The sequence below is a fragment of the Homo sapiens genome, chromosome 16, assembly GCF_000001405.40.
Source record: "Homo sapiens chromosome 16, GRCh38.p14 Primary Assembly".
In the NCBI taxonomy this organism is placed as follows: Eukaryota; Metazoa; Chordata; class Mammalia; order Primates; family Hominidae; genus Homo; species Homo sapiens.
The window spans coordinates 72004558-72027659 of record NC_000016.10 but is presented as its reverse complement, the minus strand read 5'-3'; the positions used below and the strand labels follow the sequence as shown (position 1 = coordinate 72027659).

General features: G+C 49.2%; 1 protein-coding gene and 1 pseudogene across 3 annotated transcripts, besides 4 other annotated features; one reads left to right on the top strand and one right to left on the bottom strand.

Moving 5' to 3' along the window:
* On the bottom strand, window positions 1-18916 carry DHODH (dihydroorotate dehydrogenase (quinone)). 3 transcript variants are annotated; one of them, XM_047433674.1, is made up of 9 exons: window positions 18751-18916; window positions 15398-15610; window positions 12988-13187; window positions 10554-10636; window positions 6349-6536; window positions 5185-5298; window positions 4342-4495; window positions 4027-4186; window positions 1-3515 (listed from the first exon to the last, which is right to left on the bottom strand). In XM_047433674.1, the coding sequence occupies exons 2-9, from the start codon at window positions 15545-15547 to the stop codon at window positions 3461-3463; spliced, it is 1104 nt and encodes a 367-aa protein (XP_047289630.1). In that variant the 5' UTR covers window positions 15548-15610; window positions 18751-18916; the 3' UTR covers window positions 1-3460. The 3 variants fall into 3 exon arrangements, with proteins under 3 accessions (XP_047289630.1, NP_001352.2, XP_005255886.1); NM_001361.5 differs by having other exon boundaries at window positions 18875-18916; XM_005255829.5 differs by lacking the exons at window positions 12988-13187; window positions 15398-15610; window positions 18751-18916 and adding an exon at window positions 11802-11929.
* Window positions 3053-4252: an enhancer, noted in NCBI's record as "MED14-independent group 3 enhancer chr16:72057307-72058506 (GRCh37/hg19 assembly coordinates)". NCBI's record gives its function as "activates an origin of replication core promoter dependent on BRD2, BRD4, P300/CBP and CDK7 cofactors, and independent of MED14, by STARR-seq in HCT116 cells {active_cell/tissue: HCT116}" and the evidence as "EXISTENCE:reporter gene assay evidence [ECO:0000049][PMID:35650434]".
* Window positions 18922-19121: a silencer, noted in NCBI's record as "fragment chr16:72042438-72042637 (GRCh37/hg19 assembly coordinates)". NCBI's record gives its function as "represses an EF-1alpha promoter that drives an FKBP-Casp9 reporter gene in an ReSE screen in K562 erythroleukemia cells {active_cell/tissue: K562}" and the evidence as "EXISTENCE:reporter gene assay evidence [ECO:0000049][PMID:32094911]".
* Window positions 18922-19164: a biological region, named in NCBI's record as "ReSE screen-validated silencer GRCh37_chr16:72042438-72042637".
* Window positions 19065-19164: a silencer, noted in NCBI's record as "silent region_7688". NCBI's record gives its function as "represses an Ori minimal core promoter by ATAC-STARR-seq in GM12878 lymphoblastoid cells {active_cell/tissue: GM12878}" and the evidence as "EXISTENCE:reporter gene assay evidence [ECO:0000049][PMID:35858748]".
* Window positions 20916-22757, top strand: ATP5F1AP3 (ATP synthase F1 subunit alpha pseudogene 3; annotated as a pseudogene).

Below are 23102 nucleotides of genomic sequence, written 5' to 3'. Positions count from 1 at the left end.
TTAGCTTACTGCTTATATTTAACTGATATGAAATTGGCAAGCAAAGACAATTATGCACTCCACACAAGAGTGAGTGATGTAAATAACATTTGGAATTCTGCACACCCTTCCACCATCCTTGGTCCCAGAGGGAGACGCGGTCATCATCAGTCTCCCAGGATTCCCAGCATTGAGAGCTGCTCTGGTGTCTGAGTGTGGCTTCCAGCATTAAGAAAAATAGGTATCCTTGGGCCGGGTGCGGTGGCTCACACCTGTAATCTCAGCTCTTTGGGAGGCCAAGGTGGGTGGATTGCTTGAGGTCAGGGGTTCGAGACCAGCCTGGCCAACATGGTGAAACCCCGTCTCTACTAAAAATACAAAAATTAGCCAGGCACGCTGGCTCACGCCTGTAATCTCAGCACTTTGGGAGACTGAGGCGGCCAGATCATGAGGTCAGGAGATCGAACCATCCTGGCTAACACGGTGAAACCCTGTCTCTACTTAAAATACAAAAAAACTAGCCAGGCATGGTGGCAGGCGCCTGTAGTCCCAGCTACTCGGGAGGCTGAGGCAGGAGAATAGTGTGAACCCGGGAGGCGGAGCTTGCAGTGAGCTGAGATCGCACCACTGCACTCCAGCCGGGGTGACAGAGCAGGACTCCATCTCAAAAACACACACACACACACACACACACACACACACACACACACACACACACACAAATTAGCTGGGTGTGGTAGTGGGCACCTGTAATCCCAGCTACTTGGGAGGCTGAGGCAGAAGAATTGCTTGAACCCGGGAGACAGAGGTTGCAGTGAGCTGAGATCATGCCACTGCACTCTAGCCTGGGAGACAGAGCGAGACTCTGTCTCAGAAAAAAAAAAGAAAAGAAAGAAAAATAGGTATCCGCACACCACATGGCCCCTGAATGCAAGACAACTCCTTATCCTGGTGCTCAAGCAGCCTCTTCCAGCTGTGCTGAGACAGAATGTCAGTCTCTCGAGCCAGGCGCGGTGGCTTGCACCTGTAATCCCAGCACTTTGGGAGGCTGAGGCGGGTGGACCAAGAGGTCAGGAGTTCGAGACCAGCCTGGCCAATATGGTGAAACCCCGTCTCTACTAAAAATACAAAAATTAGCAGGGCACAGTGGCATGCACCTGTAGTCCCAGCTACTCTGGAGGCTGAGGCTGAAGAATCCCCTGAACCCAGGAGGCGGAGTTTGCAGTGAGCTGAGATCATGCCACTGCACTCCAGGCTGGGCGACACAGCGAGACTCCATCTCAAAAAAAAAAAAGGCAGTCTTCCGTGGAGAACCTTCCAAGGGCCGACTCTTCCCTCTTCTCCTCCACCCCTTCCCTTCCCTTTCCTGAATTGTTCAGTCCTGAAGCTATTAGGTGGGACAGAGCAAGGTAGATGCCTGTAGCATGGGAAAGGGAGGGCAGATGACTCACAGAGAGCATCAAAGCCCAGAGAGAATGAGGAGGGTGTCCAGAGTATGTGCGCTGGCACCTGACGTGGCATGTCGGAGCCCAGGCTGAGGAAAGTGACCCCGCAGGGGTCTGGCCAGCATGTGGTTCCTTTTGCCCATTCCCATTTCTCCTTCAGTGCACTGCTCTTCCTGGAGTAAGGAACGAATCCGGAGAAGCAGAAGGCAATGAGCCGGCTTTTAGAGCAGCCAAGGCTTGGTCCATGGCAGAGCCATTCAGCACAACATGCTCTATGACCACACCGCTGGGCTCGAGCCCAGCCAAGCAGCCTCCACGCAGGGGGACTGGACAATCAGCCGCTTCTCTGCCCGTTTCCTCATCCTTAAAGAGGAAACGTCAAGCCCTTGGCACAGCATCCAGCCCACAGTCAGTGTTCAGTGGACATGAGCTGCCTTCAGGGCAGCTCTGTCTTCAGGCCTCACAGGGTAGCTTTGAACAGGCAGAGCCAGAGGAGCTGGGGATGTCCCCTCTGTTGCTGTCTCCACGGTGGGAAATGGGCAGCTTGAAAACCTGATAGGAGCAACTTGGCTCTATCTATCAGAATGTGAAACATGCCAGCCCCTCAGCCCAGCTGTCACGCCCCTTGGACCCTGCTCTGCACCGACACCAGAACGAAGGCACAGGCACATTCACAAGGTGTTCACGGAGGCACCGATGGTGATAGGAAAACGCCGGAAGTTAGCGATGTGATCACCAACAGGGGACTGGGTAAACAGACCCCACTCAAAAGACCGAGGCCCAGCATGAACCATGCCACATAAGAATAGTGAAGAAAGTAAATGGCAGAATTCTATTTGTGGGATGATGTCATTTGTATGAAAACATAAAGTAACTAAACAGATAACAGTGTGCATTCCATCCAGAAATCGGTATACAAAAAATACAGCCACATGTATGTCTGAGTGTATGTACAAAATGAACATCTTTATGCAGGGGAAAAGTCTGGGAGGACAGACAGAAAGGCATGTCTGCAGAGTGGGGTGAGGAGGAACAGGAATGTTTACACTTCAAGAGTGCTGTACCGTTTGAATTGCTAGTAAAGAATGCAGGTCAATTTTATAGTCAAAAAACTAACATCAGGATGCTTAGGAGATACAGACTGAAACACTGAAGAATAAGGCACCAATGACTCAGCAATAATAAATACATAAGACGTGAATATTTTATCCATGTTATAGAGAAAGGGACAGAGAGAAACGGGAAAATTTGTTTGTTTGTTTTGTGTGTGACAGAGTCTTGATCTGTCGCCCAAGCTGGAGTGCACTGGTGCAATCTTGGCTCACTGCAACCTCCGCCTCCCAGGTTCAAGCAATTCTCCTGCCTCAGCCTCCCGAGTAGCTGGGATTAAAAGTGCCTGCCACAATATCTGGCTAATTTTTTGTATTTTTGGTAGAGACAGGGTTTCACCATGGTGGCCTGGCTGGTCTCCAACTCCTGGCCTCAGGTGATCCGCCCGCCTCGGCCTCCCAAAGTGCTGGGATTACAGGCATGAGCCACCACACCCCGCCCTTATGTTTGAAATATTTTTAAAATAAAGTTTAAAATATTAAATAAACAAAAATAAAGATCAAATGAAAGACAGTCAAGTTCCTGGGAAGCCCACTGCAGATGCAGATAGCAGAGGCCTGGATGGACCTGCAGTATCTTGGCAGGGCCTATGGCAAACCAGAAAGGGCTAGCGTTGAAACCCAGGTTCTAAATGGCTTTATTTTTTCCATGACTTTTTCCTCCTAATATTCAATGTCCTTGCAAGACTGATGGATCCTAGGGTTTGAATCCACAAAGAATCAAAAATGCAGTTTATGGTCTGACCAAGGGACTGAAGAAAGCCTGCGGTTGATCCTGGTGACCCCCCGATTGGCGTTTACAGTGCAGCCATGCCATGGCTGGGGGACATGGCTCAAGATGGAGTCCCTCCTCTCATGATCCAGCCACAAAGGCTTGCCTGAGTCCTTGGGAAGGTTCCAGATCAGGCTTCCCGTCAGACGCTGTCCTCACCTCCGATGATCTGCTCCAATGGCATCTGTGACTCCGCCAAAGCCCTGCTCTCTGGAAAAAGAGCAAACAAAGCAATTTCAGCAAACAGTGGAGAACAGGCCCTGCTCTTACAGGAAGCCCACGTTCACCCAGAAACGCATCATCCCGGCCCAGGCACATCTGGTTTCCTCTACACTCTTCACCCAGAGACCTAGGGATATTTCTACCCAGGTAGGAACAGAGCAGGAAGGAAATTGCTTTTAAGTATTGACAGCTCCCAACATTGAACCAGTGTTGCTTAATTAATGGGAATGCTGATGGGATTCCTCAGGCTCCCCTCCCTTGAGCAAATGGACAACTCCACCTTAGAAACACCATTGCCTTGGAGGTTAATCCTCAGTTCTCCTTGGCATTGTTTGTCCTTCATCAAAAGAGTAACCCAGAATTTCTCTCCCCTTCAGAGTGTACCCCTCAACTCCTTTTTGAATGAATAAGAAACAGATCAACAGTATCTCGTTGACTTGAGTGATCTAAATGAACCTCTGCCTAACTTCTGTTTCAAGCCACACATGACCTCACTCACTTCAGAAGGGCCTCCAGTTCCCGCTTGACTTTGCCCACAACGGGTGGCCCCCAGAAGGTGAGGGCCGTGTACAGCTGCACCAGGGAGGCCCCTGCCCGGATCTTCTCCAGCGCGTCCTGCCCGCTGCTCACACCACCAACCCCAATTATGGGAACTCGGCCTACAGAGAAGCACATGGCGACACCATAAAGAAGGATGTGGCTTCAGCCCCAGAGTCCCCCACAATCAAGACAGATTAGGGAATGATGATTCCCATCACGACCCAGGAGCCCAAGCCACACGCAGATCTGAAGACACAAACACGGGAAACCTTGCCTTGGGTGAGTGCATACATCTCCCGAATGGTTTGAGTTGATAAATCCCGGAGGGGCTTCCCACTCAGCCCTCCTGTTTCAGAGCGCAGGGCACCCTGGAGGCCCGCAGGGCGACTCACGGTGGTGTTCGTAACAATCAGCCCATCGATGCCCAACTGCAGTGCGAGATAGAGAAAAAGCCATGAGTCATAGCACCGAAGGACCCAGAGGCGCTTCTCTGGAGGTCGAAGGCAGCAGCCGGGCCAGGTACCCACACCTACAGCCCCCAAAGCAAGAGCTACACCAGACCTCACTACTCATCTTTTCCTCAACAAGTTTTAGAATGAGCCATAACATGACGACAGCAGCCATCACACGCTGACCACCCACAACATTCCCCTAGGACAGGGTCCAGTCCTTACAACAACCCAATTACAGTGTCTTGTCTGAGGCCCCCAGGTAGTAAGTGGTGGAACCAGGATTTGAACCCACGATGGCCGGGCTCAGTCTGTTTCCACTACTCTCCTATGCCACAGAGACCCGCTGTCCAGACAGGCTGGAGAGAGGAGTGAGAGAAAGAATTTTCAGTCCCAGTCAAGACTGGCCAAGGAGCCAAGCTCAAGCCTTAAACTTGCTGGATGCAGTTGACAAAAGAGAGGAAGAGGCATTAGAAAAACTCCTTCAAGCACTTATTCCAACATTCGCTTTTGACCACAGGGTGAGTTACACCATGACACACACCAAACCAGCCTTGAATACCAAGGAGAGGAAATCACAAAGAACGCCATTCTGGGCTAGCCCAGCTGGCCAAACGGCCTCTGCAGACCATGGGAGGCACACCCTGGGCCCAGGCCCCGACTCAAACCTCTTTGACCACACTGGCAATGTCCTCCTTATCCTGGCTGGTGAGGTCAGGAGCGATCTTCACCAGGACTGCCGGCCTGTGCACTCTCCGCAAGCCATCCCTCTCCTGCAGCACCTAGGGCGACACACGGCCAGAGCTGGGGACCCCGCAGACCACAGCCCTGCAGTGCAGCTGTGACCTACGCTGCAGGTCAGTGGGTTTCCACAATAGCGATCAAACTAAAGCAGAAACAATTTCTTTTCAGGAAAGCCAGCCCTCAGACGTGAGGAGTACAGTCGAGATGGATCCGATTCCATTCTTTTAGGCCAAGGGATCCCGTGGACATTGGCTAATAGCTCAAGGGTGTTTTAGACTTTTCTTTTCTTTTTTTTTTTTTTTTTTTGAGACAAGGTCGCACTCTGTCACCCACACTGGAGTGTAGTAGCATGATCACGGCTCACTGTAGCCTGCACCTCCCTGGGCTCAGGCGATCCTTCCACTTCAGCCTCCAGAGTATCAGGGACTACAGGTGTGCACCACCATGCCCAGCTAATTTCTGTATTTCTTGTAAGATGGGGTTTTGCCAAGTTGCCCAGGCTGGTCAGCTCCTGAGCTCAAGTGATCTGCCTGCCTCGGCCTCCAAGTAGCTGGGGCTATAGGCTTGAGCCACTGTGCCTGGCTAATTTTTAAATTTTTGTAGAGACAGGGTCTTGCTCTTTTGCCCAGGCTGGTCTCAAATTCCTGGGTTATAAGTGATCCACCTGCCTTGGCCTCCCATAGTGCTGGTATTACAGGCATGAGCCACGGTGTCCAACGTTTTTTAGACTTTTATTCCTAAAAGATAACCAGGAAATATTACCACATGTACTGGGTGATGAAGTCCTTCAGTTCACTCAGAGCTCTGGGCGCTAGGGTCAGAGTGACAAATGAGAGAGACGTGGTGTCTGCTCTTACAGACCCCGTGATTTATAGCAGCAGGGACAGATAATTTGTCACCGTCGCATATAATCAGTGTCATGAGAGGGGATCAGAGGGGACTCTGGGAAGGTATAGCCAGGGGTCCTACTGGTCTAGGTGCTAAGGACAGCTTCTGAGGGTGATGCTGAAGGTTCGCCCTGGAGAATGAAGGGGAGCAGGTGGGACAGGCTGGTGGGACAGGGCCTGGAGAGGGGTGCAGCTGCCCACCTTGGTCAGCAGGCGGCGCAGCTCGGCCTTTCCCTGAAGGCTCCGCAGCCCGGCAGTGTTGGGGCTGGACACATTCACCACCAGGTAGTCGGCCAGGGGGCCCAGTACGCGCACCCCTTCTGCGTAGTCCTCCGCGGCGTCCACTGAGGTCTTGTTCTTCCCCAAGTTGACCCCCAGAGGCAGTCCATCTGCAAACATCGCTGGTCAGGCCTGCACCCCGCACACCCTTTCCTGTGCCACCTTCTGAGGCTGCCCTTGACCAAACCACCTGTGGACAGCCGCGCAGGCCTTCCCTCCAAACCTGACCTGCCCGACACCGGCTGACAGGTGCTCAACTGCGGCCTGGGCCCGCCTGCTGACCAAAACCACTCACTGGCTTTGTCTAGCAAAGTCTGGGCAGCTACGAGGATGTTTTGCTGCATTTTGCCCTTTTTATTTTTAAAATTTTCATGGAAAATGGACAAATTACTGCAAATACTTGTGGGGCAAAAGATGGGCCTCATAAATTGAATAAAACTGAGAACAGAGAGAACTCAGTAGGCACATCAGGCCCGCAACTCTCACCTCAAGGAATGCTTGTTGGCCTTGGCTCGGTTGACTGGATGTACAGTTGCGAAGAAAAAACAAAATGAAAGAACATGTATAAAATACTGAAAAACAGGCCAGGTGCGGTGGCTCACGCCTATAATCCCAGCACTTTGGGTGGTCAAGGGCAGAGGATTGCTTGAGCCCAGGAATTCAAGACCAGTCTGGGCAACATGGTGAAACCCTATCTCTATAATTGAAAACTCAGCCGGGAGCAGTGGTGCACACCTGTAGTCCTAGCTGCTCGGGAGGCTGAAGTAGGATTGAGGCTCCAATGAACCGTGATCGCGCCACTGCACTCCAGCCTAAGGAGCAGAGCAAGACTCTGTCTCAAAAAAAAGAAAAAAAAAAAAAATATATATATATATACACATATATATATATATATATATATATACACATATACATATACACATATATATATACTGGAAAATGTTTTTTGTTTTTTTTTTTGAGATGGAGTCTCACTGTTGCCCAGGCTGGAATGTGGTGGCACAATCTTGGCTCACTGCAACCTCCGTCCCCTGAATTCAAGCAATTCTCCTGTCTCAGCCTCCTGAGTAGCTGGGATTACACGCATGTGCCACCACGCCCAGCTAATTTTTGTATTTTTAGTAGAGATGGGGTTTCACCATGTTGGCCAGGATGGTCTCCATCTCCAGACCTCATGATCTGCCCACCTCAGCCTCCCAAAGTGCTGGGATTACAGGCGTGAGCCACTGCAACCGGCCTAATTTTTGTATTTTTAGTAGAGAAGGGGTTTCACCATGTTGGCCAGGCTGGTCTCAAACCCCTGACCTCAAATGATCCGCTTGCCTTGGCCTTCCAGAGTGTTAGGATTACAGGCGTGAGCCACCATGCCCGGCCAAATGTTTTCAATTATCATGCCTAAAATGTAGAGGTGTAATTGTTTTCTAACTTATAATTTTAGTTCTCTGAGGAAAGGGACTCTCCCTCATATAATAACTGAGGGTACCCTGTATCTTAGGTGCTCCCTGGACAACCTGATTACTCCCCTAGCCTGGGCATCATTGTTAACACCTGCCCCTTTTTACTCTCAAGAGGGTCTCAGTTTACATGTAAGCAATTAGGTCAGCTTACTTAAAAATCCACAGGACTATCAATGGACTTGCATTTTGGACCTCCAGAAAAAATACATTTTCAGAAACACACTATGTGTAAAAGAAACGGGTTGTCTCTACTTGACTTCTTCTAAGTTTACTATCTTATCTGCACGGGGAGTGGTACATCAATGGTACAGGCTGTACTTTTGATCTGAGAGTTGGGGGAAGAATTAGAACACCAAGTAGCTCACAAAATGTGTTGTCAGGCCAGAGAGGATCAAACAACATCTATTGTACTGCTCACCACCTTCCCAACCCCAATCACACTCTCGCATCATCAGCAAATGAGATGAGTGTAGCTACTTTCCAGGGTGGGGACTGGAGGAGGGGATCAGAACCCAATTAGAAGCCGGGCGCAGCAGCTCACGCCTGTAATCCCAGCACTTTGGGAGGCTGAGGTGGGTGGATCAATTGAGGTCAGGAGTTCAAGACCAGCCTGGCCAACACGGTGAAACCCTGTCTCTACTAAAAATATAAAAATTAGTCAGGCATGGTGGTGGGCGCCTATAATCTCAGCTACTTGGGAGGCTGAGAAAGGAGAATCGCTTGAACCTGGGAGGTGGAGGCTACTGTGAGCTGAGATTGCACCACTGTTGCCTGGGCAATAGCGGGAGACTCTGTCTCAAAAGAAACAAAGAATCCAATTAGACAAAAGGTTTATCATAAGGTCTCCAAGCTTCCCAGTCTAGCACCCATCAAGCCAAGATCATCTGTAAGCTTGAATTCTTTTCCTCACAAGTAAACTGACTTGAAGGAGAATATCACTTTCATGTAGCTAACGGATTAGGAGTCATCTGCCCAAACTGACAAGATTTGGGAGTTAGACAGAAATTGCTGGATTACTCTGTCCCCAGAGGGCACCAAAGCTTTTGTCAACGCGTGTTCCTTGGCATGGTGCTAACAACAAGCTGCCATGAAGGCCCCTAAGCTGCTGGCAGACACATCCGTGCAGAGCACTGCTGCAGGCTCCGCTTCACTCCGTAGACCAGGAGGGCCACAGGGAGGGAGGGCTGGGTGAGGAAGAACAGGAGATAAAGCCAGGACACTGCACTGCAGACACCGAGGAGAAGAAAAAGCAAGCACGAAGGCGGGCAAGCATCACAAACCATGCAAGTCCTGTGATGACCTCCAAAGCTCCCCAGGTGGGCGGCTCTGCAGTACAGCGGGGTCTGGTTCCACCCAACCCAGGGGTTTCCAAAAGATAATTTCCTATTCCCCAAATCTGACACTGCTGAGTGCCTCAGCCCTTTCCACCTCACTTCCTGAAATGAATCCCATATCCATTGGTTTCTTCATCCTGCTACCAGGACTATCTGAGACTAAGACATCCTGGAAGGAGTTTCAGAGGGACCCAAAGAAGAAAATGGTCGCTACTGAGCCACAACCCCACACAATCCCAGAGGGTCCCAGGGGCATTAGGGTCAGGACAACAGAGGGCTGCGACCACTAAGTGCATCCTGAGAGCAAGTGAGGCAGAGGCCACAGAGAACACCCGCATCGCCGGAGGCGTCTTCAAAAATGCATGTTGTGGCCAGGCGCGGTGGCTCACGCCTGTAATCCCAGCACTTTGGGAGGCCGAGGCAGGCGGATCACCAGGTCAGGAAATCGAGACCATCCTGGCTAACACAGTGAAACCCCGTCTCTACTAAAAATACAAAAAGAAATTAGCTGGGTGTGGCGGCGGGTGCCTGAAGTCCCAGCTACTCGGGAGGCTGAGGCAGGAGAATAGTGAGAACGCGGGAAGCAGAGCTTGCAGTGAGCCGAGATCCCGCCACTGCACTCTAGCCTGGGGCGACAGAGCGAGACTCCGTCTCAAAAAAAAAAAAAAAAAAGCATGTTGTTTTTGGTTTTTTTAGAGAAATGGGATCTCACCATGTTGCCCAGGCTGGTCTTAAACTCCTGAGTTCAAGTGATCCTCCCAACTTGGGCACCCAAAGTATTGAGATTACAGGTGTGAACTGTCCCGAACCAAAAATGAGTTTCCAAAACAACTCATGAAGAATATTTTCCCAAATGCTAATATTAGTTAGCCTTGAGTAGGGAGGAGTATCTGTTTCTTGAACATTCTTTCTTTACGCTTCTCTGTATTTACTAAGTCTTCTATAATTAATGAACATTATTTACACAATGGATGACAAAAAAGGGAGGACAGAGTGGGCCACGGGAGGATGACATTCAAGTCCTGCTCCTGCCCTCATTGCCTGTGTGATCATTGCCCAGCCGCTTTGCTTCGCTTGCTTTCAGGCCTCCCTAGTTACGGTAACAGGTTACATAACAAGGCAGAGGCAAAGTGAGTATTTGCTAAATTGCAAAATCCAGTTAAACTCTTGGAAGCTGTGTGGGACCAGGAAAATCGCTCTAGGAGAGGTGTCCTGAGGTCCTCAGTGGTTTTTGCTATTGCTCAATCATGTTTATTTCACTAGAAATGTTCCCAGCATTTCTCCCACGTTTCCTCCTAATAAATAAGAAAGGCCCACTGACACAACCCCACTTTACCTTCTGTGAGCTTGGCCTGCTTCTGCTGTCTGGCCCGTAACCTGTGTTCCACCACTGAAAGCCCGTGACTGTTAAATCCATACCTGCAGAGCACAAGCACACGGGAGGGGCAGAGTGAGACGGCACCATAGCCACTTCCCATACACTTAGGACTTTTTCAAACAAGAGAAAAAAAAAAATCACAGTCAGTTCTTACACTTCCAGGGTCTAAACACCACTGGGACTCCTAGAGAACTTGCCAGAACACCATCCAATACCCAGGGAAAGATTAAAATTTGCAAATGCTCAGCCAGCTAGCACTGGAAACAGCCCAGACTCAGCAGCAGCTGCCCCAGACCTGCTGGATCCCCACTCCTTACCCAGCCACTCTCTGAGAATTGCACACTCACTTGCCACCTTCTGCCTGGGCTCCCAAACAGCCTCCTGAAGCCCCTGCAGCCACTCCATCTCTCTAGGCTTTCTGTCTGAAAATCACCTCTCTTCCTAGCTCAGAGCAAACGCTCCCTCTCCTCCTGCACAGAGCTCGCAGCTGCAAAGGATCCCTCATCCCCCTGGCCTTCATACAGAGCTTTGGCCCCACCTTTCTCCTGGCTTGGGATAGATACATACATATATGCTTAAGGTCCCTAGGTTACAATCTTCTTGAGGGTGAGCAACATCTCATACTTCTCTCATCCCTCTGTCACTGTCACTAGACACTCCCTGAAGGCAGGAGCCTCATCTCTCTTTCATCCCTGTATCCCCAGCCCCACTGTGGGTTTTGACCTAGTGGCCAGTCCCCTTCCTCTTCCTCTTTGCCAGTGAAACCCACCTGCCCTGATACAGGGTAAAAATGCTAATGACTCCTTTCCCAGCCTTGCTGGCAAGGGAAGCGTAAGTGTATGCCAAGTGTAGACACTGAGACACAAGTGAGACCTACTGGGAGCCTCTGAGAACATCCCTGCCCTTTTTCCTTTCTGCTCTTGGGCGTCCGTGTAAGAACATAATACTTGCAGCCGAGGTCGCTCTCTGACAAGCAAAAAGAAAACGCCCAGAGAAGTTGGACCAGAGTCTCAACACTGCCCTGGTGCTCAACCAACCCTGGACCTGCCCATTGCACCTGTTATGAGAAGAAAATAATATCAAATGTGCCTGTTGTTTAAGCCACTTTGTTAGAGCCAAAAGCATCCATAATAACAGACACACTGGCACACATATCTGATGACTTCATAACTTCACCCATTCATTAAGTGTTTACTACACACTTACCACATGCCACACAACCAGGAGGCCGCACACACAGGGCTCAGAGCAGGATCTCACACCCCTGCTCACCTATAGGATTCACCAAGTACCATCATCCCAGCACCTGCAGTTATCTGTAGCAGCTGAATGTTAAGCAAATATATTTTGCCTGGCCAATTCTGAAGATATTGATCCCCACCTGCAATGCAGCAGAAAGATCAATAACTTGATCTCTAATGCTGGAGAATTTCCCTGAAACAAGCACAAGAAAGCAGGAAGCACGGCCAAGTAAATGTCCTACAGGTCCGTCTCCCAGGAGGCCACCAGTGGCCCCAAAGATGCCCATCGAAATCTCCCCAAGGAGGCTCTTCAAAATCCTCTTACCAAAAAGTAAGCACTTCTTCACCTTTTGGGTTTGCTGTAGTAAAAATTGCCCAGGGATGACAAAGGGAAGGGCTTTATACAGTCTAGAAGGATTTCTCTTACTAAGAGCAGCTGTGCATGTTGAATATTACATTTCCCTGTTTGCTAAAGGCTGGGGCTGTGCTAGCCAATACAAGCCTGCTGGCCGCATGTGGCTACTGGCTGCTGGGAATGCAGCTGGTCCAAAGGGAGAGGTGCTGGAAGTAAAATGCACACTGGCTCTTGAAGACTTGGTACAGGCAAAAGAAGGTAAAAACAGCGAATTAATACTTTTTATGGTGTTTTAAATATACGTTTTTTTAAATACTTGTAACATTAAATATAAATTATAATTTTAAGTAAGTATTAACTTCACTCATTTCTGTTTACTGTGTTAATGTGGTCACTAGAGTACTTTAAATTACATATGGGGCTCACATTACATTTCTCCTGGACAGTGTCGAGTAAGAGCATTGGAGAAACAACATGGACAGAGCACAAACTCTCAAGTCCAATAAGCCCAGGCCATGCCCAAGCTCTCCTGCTTATTATCTCCGTGACCGAAGCGGAGTTATTTAGCTCTATGAGCCTCCATCTACCCAACTGTTAAATGGACGTAACAAAGCATGCTTTTCAAGATAGATGCCTGGGGCACATAGTAGATGCTGAACAGGGTTCCTGAACATTCCAAATGACAGAAGAATGTCCACATTGTATGAGAGAAAAAAAACAGAGGCAGATCTTATATCTCTGAACGCCCCCAGCTGGAAAGAGGGCATCCCCCGTTAACTCTGGGCCGCTCACCTACCTGTTAATGACAGCTTGGTCCTCAGGGAGGCGGAAGACTCTGGGTCTAGGGTTTCCTTCCTGAGGTTTTGGAGTCACACTTCCTATCTCAACAAAACCAAAGCCCATCTTATAAAGTCCGTCCACGGCTTCCCCATGCTTGTCAAATCCTGCAGCAATTCCTACTGGATTTCGGAATTTATGGCCCAGAACTCTCACTTCCTGGGAAGAGGAAGACAAAGTCAGAGGCACGCTAAGGCTATCCCGGTATTTCTCAAAGCATGGTTCCTGGCACAGCTACATCAGAATGACCTGGGAAGCTTGTGAAACCTCAGATCCCAGGGCCCACCCCCAAGGTCAAAATCTTTGGGGGTGGAATGGAGCACTGGGGGAACTATTTTTAACAGTGCTGGCTCTCCAGGGGACTGTGACACCAGCTAGAGTTTGAAAACCACGGGGCTTTATTATTAGCAAGCCTGGGGGGAGAAATGGTGTTTCCACCGTGGGTTGAAGCGGAGACGAGCACTGTCTTTTCCAATTGTGGTTAAGGTTCATACCTTCTTATCAACTAGCCTTGGTGGGAGGGAGTAGCTCGCTGGTGTCAGGCCCTAGATAGTGCTTCCCTGAAACCAAGGCGTGTCAAGCAGCAAAACCCTTTAATCAGCTTAATAAACATCAGCTCCAGCTGTGTCCCTCCTCATCCGGGCTGGCAAGAAGCCCCAGCCACGTCCCCCAGCCTCCCACGGGGAACCAGAGGAAGGAAGATGTTCAGCTGGGCAGAACTGACTGATGGGCTCCAGCGACCTTTCAGGAGACTAGCAAAGGCCTCCCGGGGTGAACACGGTCGGATCCTGGAAGCAGGGGATTAAGAGAGATGCTCCAAGAAGGAAGAGCAACAAATGAAGGTGAGAATGCTCACAGCACCTCAGGAGACTGGTAGGCAAGATGTGTAGGGGCCTTCCTCCAGGACCGTGGTTCTCAGCTCCAGCTGCACCACAAAGGCCCCTGGCAGCTTTCAGGTCCTGCTCTCAGATGTGGCGGTGAAACTGGTCTGGCACCAGGCCAGGGCATCTGAATATTCCAAGTGCACCCCCGGGGGATTCTAACATGCCTGACATAGGTGAAGGGTGGAGAGCCAAACCAGGAAAGTTGTGAAATCAAGAATCCTGGTTACCGGTTAAAAAGTCTGAGTCACATTCTAAATGAGCTGCTGCAAGTGTGGGCCCACGCAGAGGTGTTGAGGACAACACCTCAGAGGTCAGGTTTGCCTGTCTCTGTCATCTGTGTTTATACAGACACAGCTTGCACCCTCAGGCACCCCGCACTTCCTTCTAAATTCACCCCATCTCTGCACCCCACTCATTATTCACTCCCATTTTACACTGGTTCCAGGGCTCTCAAACTAGCAGTCTGAGGTGAGGACACCTTAACGGAGTGCTCTTTCTGAGCCTACAGTGCCTGTTAGTGTGTGAGCATGGCCAGTCAGGGGAAATGACACGTCTGCTCAACACCATATAATCAGATAGTGAAGAGGAGTCTAAGGTAGGAAGAGAAAATGCGGTGAAGGCCCCTTTAATTTATAACAGTGACCCTTCCCACCAGAGTTCTGAGGGCTTCTTGTTTGCATTTTCACACTCATCATTCTGATGTCCTCCCATTTGGTAAGAAGCCTCTCGAAAGGAAACTGCCAAGGCTTCCATGAGGAAGCAGCTTCCATGAGGATGGGGACTCTTTTATTCGGTTTGCTGCACTAAGCCCGGAAGGTCACATGAAACAGAGGCCCTTAGCCTTCCGCTGACACTGGCCTCTGCAGTCAGAGGCTGTATCTACACTTCTGCCTACACACCCTCTTCCTGCCCTAGAGGCTTTCCTGGGACTCTAGGCCAAAGATTTCAAGCATATGGAGAGGGCCCGTGTGCTGAACACGTGGCTGAGTGAGGCTGGGACACGATGCTCCTGCCTCTCACCAGTGCTTAATGACTCTGGCAGCTTCCCCATTTAGCTGAGGGGAAGACTGAGCTACCCACGACCTCAGCAAGGCAGGACAGTGGCCAAGGGGCGGGAAGCCAGCGTCAGACTCTGTGGGTTTGAATCCTGGTCCTGCTACCTCCTAGCTGTGTGACTTGAGTTCCTTTATGTTGCTAATCTGTTCCTCAGTTTCCTGATCCATGGCTGGGGATGGTAACAGGATCCAGCTCATGGAGCAGCTGGGAGGATCAAACAAGAACACCGCCTAACACAATCCCATATACGTAATAGATAATCATCGTTGCTAATTACATGACATAAAATAATAATGCTCAGACTGAATTCCAAATCCCCACTGCTCACTTGGGGTTCTGGTTTTCAAAAAGATCAGTCCCAGCTGAGAAGTTTAGGGGACTGCAGCCTTCGCCTTTGTATTTAATGTATAGGGTGTCTGGGAGCACTACCAGCATGTCAGAGTCTTGAAATCTGGCCCGTGGAAGGAGCCCCAGGGAGGTGAAGCGAACAGCCAGTCTGTGGGCTGACTCCGGGTCCAGCAGCCCCTGCAGAGTCGGCATCAGGTGTTCAGCATAGAAACGCTCATCTCCCGTGGCCATCAGGTAGGAGGCGAAGAGAAGTCCTCCTCCCCCCAGGATGATCACAGCATCCTGGGCCCGCTTCTGCAAAAAAGAGCATATTAGGGGGGTCCCCCAGGCCAGGCTGCAGCACCCTTCCTGAGCCCTTCACACCCAGGTACACAGAGGGCATAACGGCAGGTCACATGAAACAGACGCCCTTAGCCTTCCGCTGACACTGGTCTCTACAGTCAGAGGCTGTATCTATACTTCTGCCTACACACCTTCTTCAGGCCCTAAAGGCTGTCCTGGGACTCCAGGCCAGAAATTTAAAGAGGGACAGTACTGTCCCCTAGGGTGATCGTGGTGGACACTGCTACTGGTTACAGTGACAGGGTAATGCTAATAGATGTGGTGGGCAGGAATCCATAAAGTCAGACATCCTTCTTGGCTTGAGACTATCTGACATGAACTGCCCCATTTCCTGTGTGACTTTTGAACATTCTGACATTTGTGTGGGTAAAAATTATCCGTTCATATTATCTAAGCCAAACTATATTTTACCACATAAACACAAACTGTCTTTCCTGACCTCCTGGTCTCAAGCAATCCTCCCCTCCTCAGCCTCCCCAAGTAACTGGGACCACAGGCACATGCCACCAAGCCCAGCCAATTTTTTGAAGAGATAGAGCCTCTTTATGTTGCCCAGGCTGGTCTTGAACCCTTAGGCTCAAGCAGTACTCCTGCTTTGGCCTCCCAAAGTGCTGGGATTACAGGCATGAGCCACCGTGCCCAGCCTCTACATGGTTTTCACATACAGTACAAATATCTTGTAAATTGAGGGACAACTGTACAGTTTCACATAGAACATTCCCAAGAATTGTTCACCATTTCAGAAAATCTCATCGGGAATGGTACAGTGCTTTCCTGGGGTGCCTGATATGTAACACACCTGTGTACCTGCATTTCTAAGTAGAGACTTAAACACAACTATCTCACTAGGGGAGTCATAGCAATATTTACATACTGAAATACATGTAATTTTATTATTAATATAAACTACTTTTACATTTTCTCCTTTATATTCCAGTTAGGGTATTAATTATGCTGGCTTTTAAAAATTGCACATAGCTGGACTTGGTGGCTCATGCTTGTAATCCCGGCACTTTGGGAGGCTGAAGTGGGAGGACTGCTTGAGCTCAGGCGCTTGAGACCAGCCTGGGGAACATAGTGAGACCCCGTCTCTACAAAATATAAAAAATTAGCCAGGCATGGTGGTGCGCCTGCGGTCTCAGCTACTTGGGAGGCAGAAGTGGGTGGATCCCTTGAGCCCAGGAGGTCCAGGCTGCAGTGAGCCGGGATGACACCACTGCACTCCACCTGGGCGACAGAGTCAGACTCTCTCAAAAATGTATACATACAAAGACATTATACATATATTCCATTTCAAGGTAACGGGGGTGTAAAATATAAAACAGAAGCTTCAGATCTTATTGGATCAAAAGTGGTTCACAATGCTTTTCTCTATCACTGCCACATGCTGAGTTATTCATTCATTAGTTCAGTCATTCATCAAATACTGATTGAGCAAAGATGACAAAACAGATCTTGCCCCTACCCTCATGGAGAGTGTGATCTTATGAAGCGACAGACAGAAATTAATGATCATGCAAATATGTAGTCATAGCAACTGTGATGAAGGATAAAAAGTATAAGGTAATGGAAGTATTCAACCTAATCTTAGAGGTAAGGAAAGGCTTCCTTAAGGAAATGACTTAAAGCTGATACTCAAGGGATAAACGAGTTGATGGGGGTCTCTCTGAACCTATTCTGGTTCAATTATTTAAAAAAATAGTTAACCAGAAGGCAGTACGGAGAGGAAAAAGTGTAAAGGCTCTCTCAGTAGCAGAAGAGAATGAAAAAGGGAGAAAGTTTGGAACAGAGGAGTGAGGGAAAGTAAGGCTTAAGACGAGGCAGGAGAAAGGAGCAGGAGTCTTGGCCAAAATAAAGATTTGGGTTTTGTTCCCTAAGCCAGGAAATGACATGATTAGATTTGCTTTTAAGGATCCTTCCAAACTGCTAAAGACATGTAGATCAAGTATTCATTGGCTGGGCGCGGTAGCCCACGCCTGTAATCCCACCACTTTGGGAGGCTGAGGCGGGAAGATCCCTTGAGGCCAATAGTTCTAGACCAGCCTGGGCAACACAGTGAGATCCCATCTCTCTCCATTTATTTATTTTAAAAAGAGACTCAGGCCGAGCGCGGTGGCTCACGCCAGTAATCCCAGCACTTTGGGAGGCTCACGAGGTGAGGAGTTCGAGACCAGCCTGACCAACATGGTGAAACTGCAGTCTCTACTAAAAATACCAAAATTAGCCAGTCGTGGTGGCGCGCGCCTGTAATCTCAGCTACGCAGGAGGCCGAGGCAGGAAAATCGGTTGAACCCGGGAGGCGGAGGTTGCAGTGAGCCAAGATCGCGCCACTGCACTCCAGCCTGGGCGACAGCCCAAGACTCCGTCTCAAATAAACATATAAAAAGAAAGTCAAGGTTATTCATTGCCTCCCTTGGAGACTGTACTCCCCCCCACCATGTCAATCAACAAATATCTGAACACCTATTTTTTTTTTTTTTTTTTTTTTTTTTGAGACGGAGTCTCGCTCTGTCGCCCAGGCCGGACTGCGGACTGCAGTGGCGCAATCTCGGCTCACTGCAAGCTCCGCTTCCCGGGTTCACGCCATTCTCCTGCCTCAGCCTCCCGAGTAGCTGGGACTACAGGCGCCCGCCACCGCGCCCGGCTAATTTTTTGTATTTTTAGTAGAGACGGGGTTTCACCTTGTTAGCCAGGATGGTCTCGATCTCCTGACCTCATGATCCACCCGCCTCGGCCTCCCAAAGTGCTGGGATTACAGGCGTGAGCCACCGCGCCCGGCCTCTGAACACCTATTACATACGGGGATACAGCTAAGAACTTTTCACAGAGACCCCCGCCCCTAACAAAACTTTACCTAAAAGGGTTGGGAGCATGTCCTACTCTAGTTTCATTCCCCGTTGGATCCGGCACACAACGCTAGGCGGTCATGTGTTCACTAAGCACCCCTGTGCCAGGCTCAAAAACATGGCCCAGGCGCAGACACTCAGATCAGCACCCACCCAGACCTGCAGGCGCTGTCTGCACACGCCTGACCGAGTCCACGTGCAAATGCACACGCACGAGCATTTGCAGGAGACCCCGGAAACACGCACACGTCCCAGGGGGGCCCACACTCCCGGAGCCGCCTTCGGTCCATGCCTCGCCCGGCCTGACTCTCCGTTCTCGCCCTCCCCGGTCCCTGGTCCCCCATCCACACTGCTCACTCGCGGGACTCACTTTCAGGTGTCTCCACGCCATGCTCCTTCCGTCATTAAGCCCGCCCCTGTCTCCCTTCCATTGGAGGAGATGGTGGCGGCCCCTCTTGTCTCCGCCCCTTAGCCGCCAACCCACCAGTCGCCGGGCAGAAGGGTTGAGAGGACGCCTCCGCGCAGCGGGGAAGGCCCGGCACCACCCCCAGGTTCTGGTTGGGTGCACGTGCGCAGTAGCGGCGGCCACGCCTCTTCCGCCCGCCCTCTCCCAGCCTGCCCGCTTGATCGCCGGCTGTTGGCGGAGATGAGATGCCGCTGCACGGTGTTTGTCCGTACTACCGCAGCCTCGAATCCAAGAGTCCGCGAGCATCAAAACACTGTGTTTCACACCAGAAATATTTGTACAGTTTTTATCACTTTAAAAAATAAATTTTACTGCTGTGTTGATATAAAGATGAATATGTTAATATATAAACTTTTTCAACTTAAAAGTTGATTTTTCTTAAGGTTTTTTAAGGAAATTAAAACATTTTCTTGAGGCCGGGCATGGTGGCTCACGCCTGTAGTCCCAGCACTTTGGGAGGCTGAGGCAGGCAGATCACTTGAGGTCAGGAGTTCGAGACCTGGTCAACACCCAAAACCCCGTGTCTACTAAAAAATAAAATAAAATACAAAAATTAGCCGGGCGTAGTGGCAGGCGCCTGTAATCCCAGGTACTCGGGAGGCTGAGGCAGGAGAATCGCTTGAACCCAGAAGGTGGAGGTTGCAGTGAGCCGAGATAGCACCACTGCACTCCAGCCTGGGCGACAAAGCAAGACTCTGTCTCAAAAACAAACAAAGAAAAATAACCAAAAAAAAAAAATTTCTTGAGATCCTAAAAGTGTCAGAGGCCCTTCCCTGGCCCTGCGCCTGTTGTGCCTCCTGGAGAAAGTGGCCCTGGTTATACCTTGGCATTGTGGTGCAACAGATGTGGAGGTATTTTTTTAAATACTGTTTCTAATCAAGACCCTGAGTGTGCAGGCCCGTTGGAGTGTGGTTTACTGCGGTGATTTTTTTTTTTTTTTTTTTTTTTTTTTGACAGAGTCTTGCTCTGTTGCCCAGGCTGCAGTGCAGTGGCGCGATCTCGGCTCACTACAAGCTCCGCCTCCCGGGTTCACGCCATTCTCCTGCGTCAGCCTCCCGAGTAGCTGGGACTACAGGCGCCCGCAACCATGCCCGGCTCATTGTTTTGTATTTTAGAGACGGGGTTTCACCGTGTTAGCCAGGATGGTACTGCGGTGATTTATGACGACCTAATGTGTCACTTTGTAGTCCTCTGAAGCAATCGTGCCCTCACGAAGAATTTTGAAATGTCTTACCTAATGATGTCCTGGCCGTTGGAGAATAGCCTCTGTAGACTTAGGTGTCAACAGCATTAATCAGATACTTATTGTTTGGAGGCTCTACACCCATCCGTGTCATTTTTGTCCAGTTGCAGTGTTCCCGCCATCAGCTGAAATAGCTGGGTTATTGTCGTAGCAGAAATTAGAGCAAAAGAAAGGTGTATGAAATATCTTGAGTCAAGCCATTTTTGAGCTTCATCAGTTGTATGAAGCTATCAAATTAGAACAAATTCACAGACCCAGCTGAGACTTAGAGACAGATTCTACTGCAATAATTTACATGCTAGGTGTTTCAGTCTACATGCAATAGAAATCATTGAAAACATTTATCAAGGTAAAAGTTATGCTTATCAACCTGTCTTCCCTTTACACTTTAATGGAATAAGTTAATTCAGCACACCTTAGTCAACATAAATCATTGCTCATCTGGGACAAAAAACTACTTACATGTTTATCCTCAGTTCTGAGCACTCTCTCACCAATTTTTTGGTCGTTTAAATTAAAACTTTTATTGATAGAGTGCTTGTGTCTTAGATAAAGCATGTATTGAAAGAATATATACAAGGACTTTACCCTTTATGAAAAGGATTGAAATGAAATTACAGCATTGTGTAAGATACCTGACTTGACTTTCAGAGATTTCATCAACATCAGGTTTCATTTAAAAATGCTTGAAACGGTCCCAGTCAGTCCAGAGGCTGCGGCTGTGGAGGTACCACCTGTGGAGAAACTGCAAAGATGCTGTCTGTGTGTGTCTCCGCGGCCGTAGCCCGTGACCTCACTCGGTGGGCAGGACTGGTCTCCAGAAATGCTTTGGGTTCATCTTTCATTGCTGCAAGGAACCTCCATGCCTCTAACACTCATCTTCAGAAGACTGGGACTGCTGAGATGTCCTCTATTCTTAAAGAGCATGTTCTTGGAGCTGATACCTCTGCTGACCTTGAAGAAACTGGGCATGTCTTAAGTATTGGTGATGGTATTGTCCATGTACATGGGCTGAGGAATGTTCCAAGCAGAAGAAATGGTAGAGTTTTCTTCAGGCTTAAAGGATATGTCCTTGAACTTCGAAACTGACAATGTTGGCATTGTAGTGTTTGAAAATAATAAAGTAAGGAAGGAGGTATAGTGAAGAGGACAGGAACCATTGTGGACGTTCCAGTCGGTGAGGAGCTGTTGGGTCGTGTAGTTGATGCCCTTGGTAATGCTATTGATGGAAAGGGTCCAATGGGTTCCAAGACCCATAAGTGAGTCGGTCTGAAAGCCCCCAGAATCATTCCTCGAACTTCAGTGTGGGAACCAATGCCGACTGGCATTAAGGCTGTGGATAGCTTGGTGCCAATTGGTCGTGGTCAGCATGAGCTCATTATTGGTGACCGAAGGACTGGGAAAACCTCAATTGCTATTGACACAATCATTAACCAGAAACATTTCAATGATAGATCTGAAGAAAAGAAGAAGCTGTACTGTATCTATGTTGCTATTGGTCGAAAGAGATCCACTGTTGCTCAGTTGGTGAAGAGACTTACAGATGCAGATGCCGTGAAGTACACCACTGTGGTGTCAGCTATGGCCTCAGATGCTGCCCTACTTCAGTACCTGGCTCCTTACTCTGACTGTTCCATGGGAGAGTATTTTAGAGACGATGGCAAATATACTTTGATCATCTATGACGACTTATCCAAACAGGCTGTCGCTTACTGTCAGATGTCTCTGTTGCTCCACCGACCCCCCTGGTCGTAAGGCCTGTCCTGGTGATGTGTTTTACCTATACTCCCGGTTGCTGGAGAGAGCAGCCAAAATGAATGATGCTTTTGGTGGTGGCTCCTTGACTGCTTTGCTAGTCATAGAAACACAGGCCGATGATGTGTCTGCTTACATTCCAACAAATGTCATTTCCATCACTGACAGACAGATCTTGGAAACAGAATTGTTCTACAAAGATATCCGCTCTGCCATTAACATTGGGTCTGTCTGTGTCTTGTGTTGGATCTGCTGCCCAAACCAGGACTATGAAGCAGGCGGCAGGTACCATGAAGCTGGAATTGGCTCAGGATCGTGAGGTTGCTGCTTTTGCCCAGTTTGGTTCTGACCTCAATGCTCCCACTCAACAACTATTGAGTCGCGGTGTGCGTCTAACTGAGTTGCTGAAGCAAGGACAGTATCCTCCCATGGTTACTGAACAACAAGTGGCTGTTATCTGTGCGGGTGTAAGGGGGTATCTTGATAAACTGGAGCCCAGCAAGATTACAAAGTTTGAGAATGCTTTCTTGTCTCATGTTGTCAGCCAGCGCTAAGCCCTGTTGGGCACTATCAGGGCTGATGGAAAGATCTCAGAAGACTCAGATGCAAAGCTGATGGAGTTGTAACAAATTTCTTGGCTGGATTTGAAGCTTAAACTCCTATGGATTCACATCAAATATCAGTTCAGTTTTGTCACTGTTTGTTCTAGTAAATTAGTTTCATTTGTAAAAGAGTTACTCTCATATTCCTTATGTACAAAAATCACATAAAAAAGTTTCCATAATGCATTAAAAAAAAAAAAAAGAGGAGAGTTCCGGGGACCAGGCAACCGCCACAGTTGAACGCTGCTGCTCCACGGTGGAGTCACCGCACCCCCGCCAGCATCATGGTGTTCTACTTCACCAGCAGCAGCGTTAATTCATCTGCCTGCGCTATTTACATGGGAAAGGATAAATATGAAATAGAGACAGGGTTTCACCATTTTGGCCAGAATGGTCTCAATCTCCTGACCTCGTGATCCGCCCACCTCAGCCTCCCAAAGTGCTGGGATTACAGGCATGAGCCACCGCGCCCGGCCCTTGAGTTTTATATCTCTCCTACTAACCCATAAATCATCATGAAGATCTGATGAAG

What these genes read in the sequence shown, in the direction of transcription:
- DHODH (NM_001361.5), bottom strand. Translation starts at nt 18,895, where the DNA reads ATGGCGTGGAGACACCTGAAA. An exon ending in GACCAAGCTGTCATTAACAG is followed by an intron (nt 10,637 to 12,987) that starts GTAGGTGAGCGG and finishes TGTGCTCTGCAG; the next exon opens with GTATGGATTTAACAGTCACG. An exon ending in GCAGGCCAAGCTCACAGAAG is followed by an intron (nt 6,537 to 10,553) that starts GTAAAGTGGGGT and finishes CGATGTTTGCAG; the next exon opens with ATGGACTGCCTCTGGGGGTC.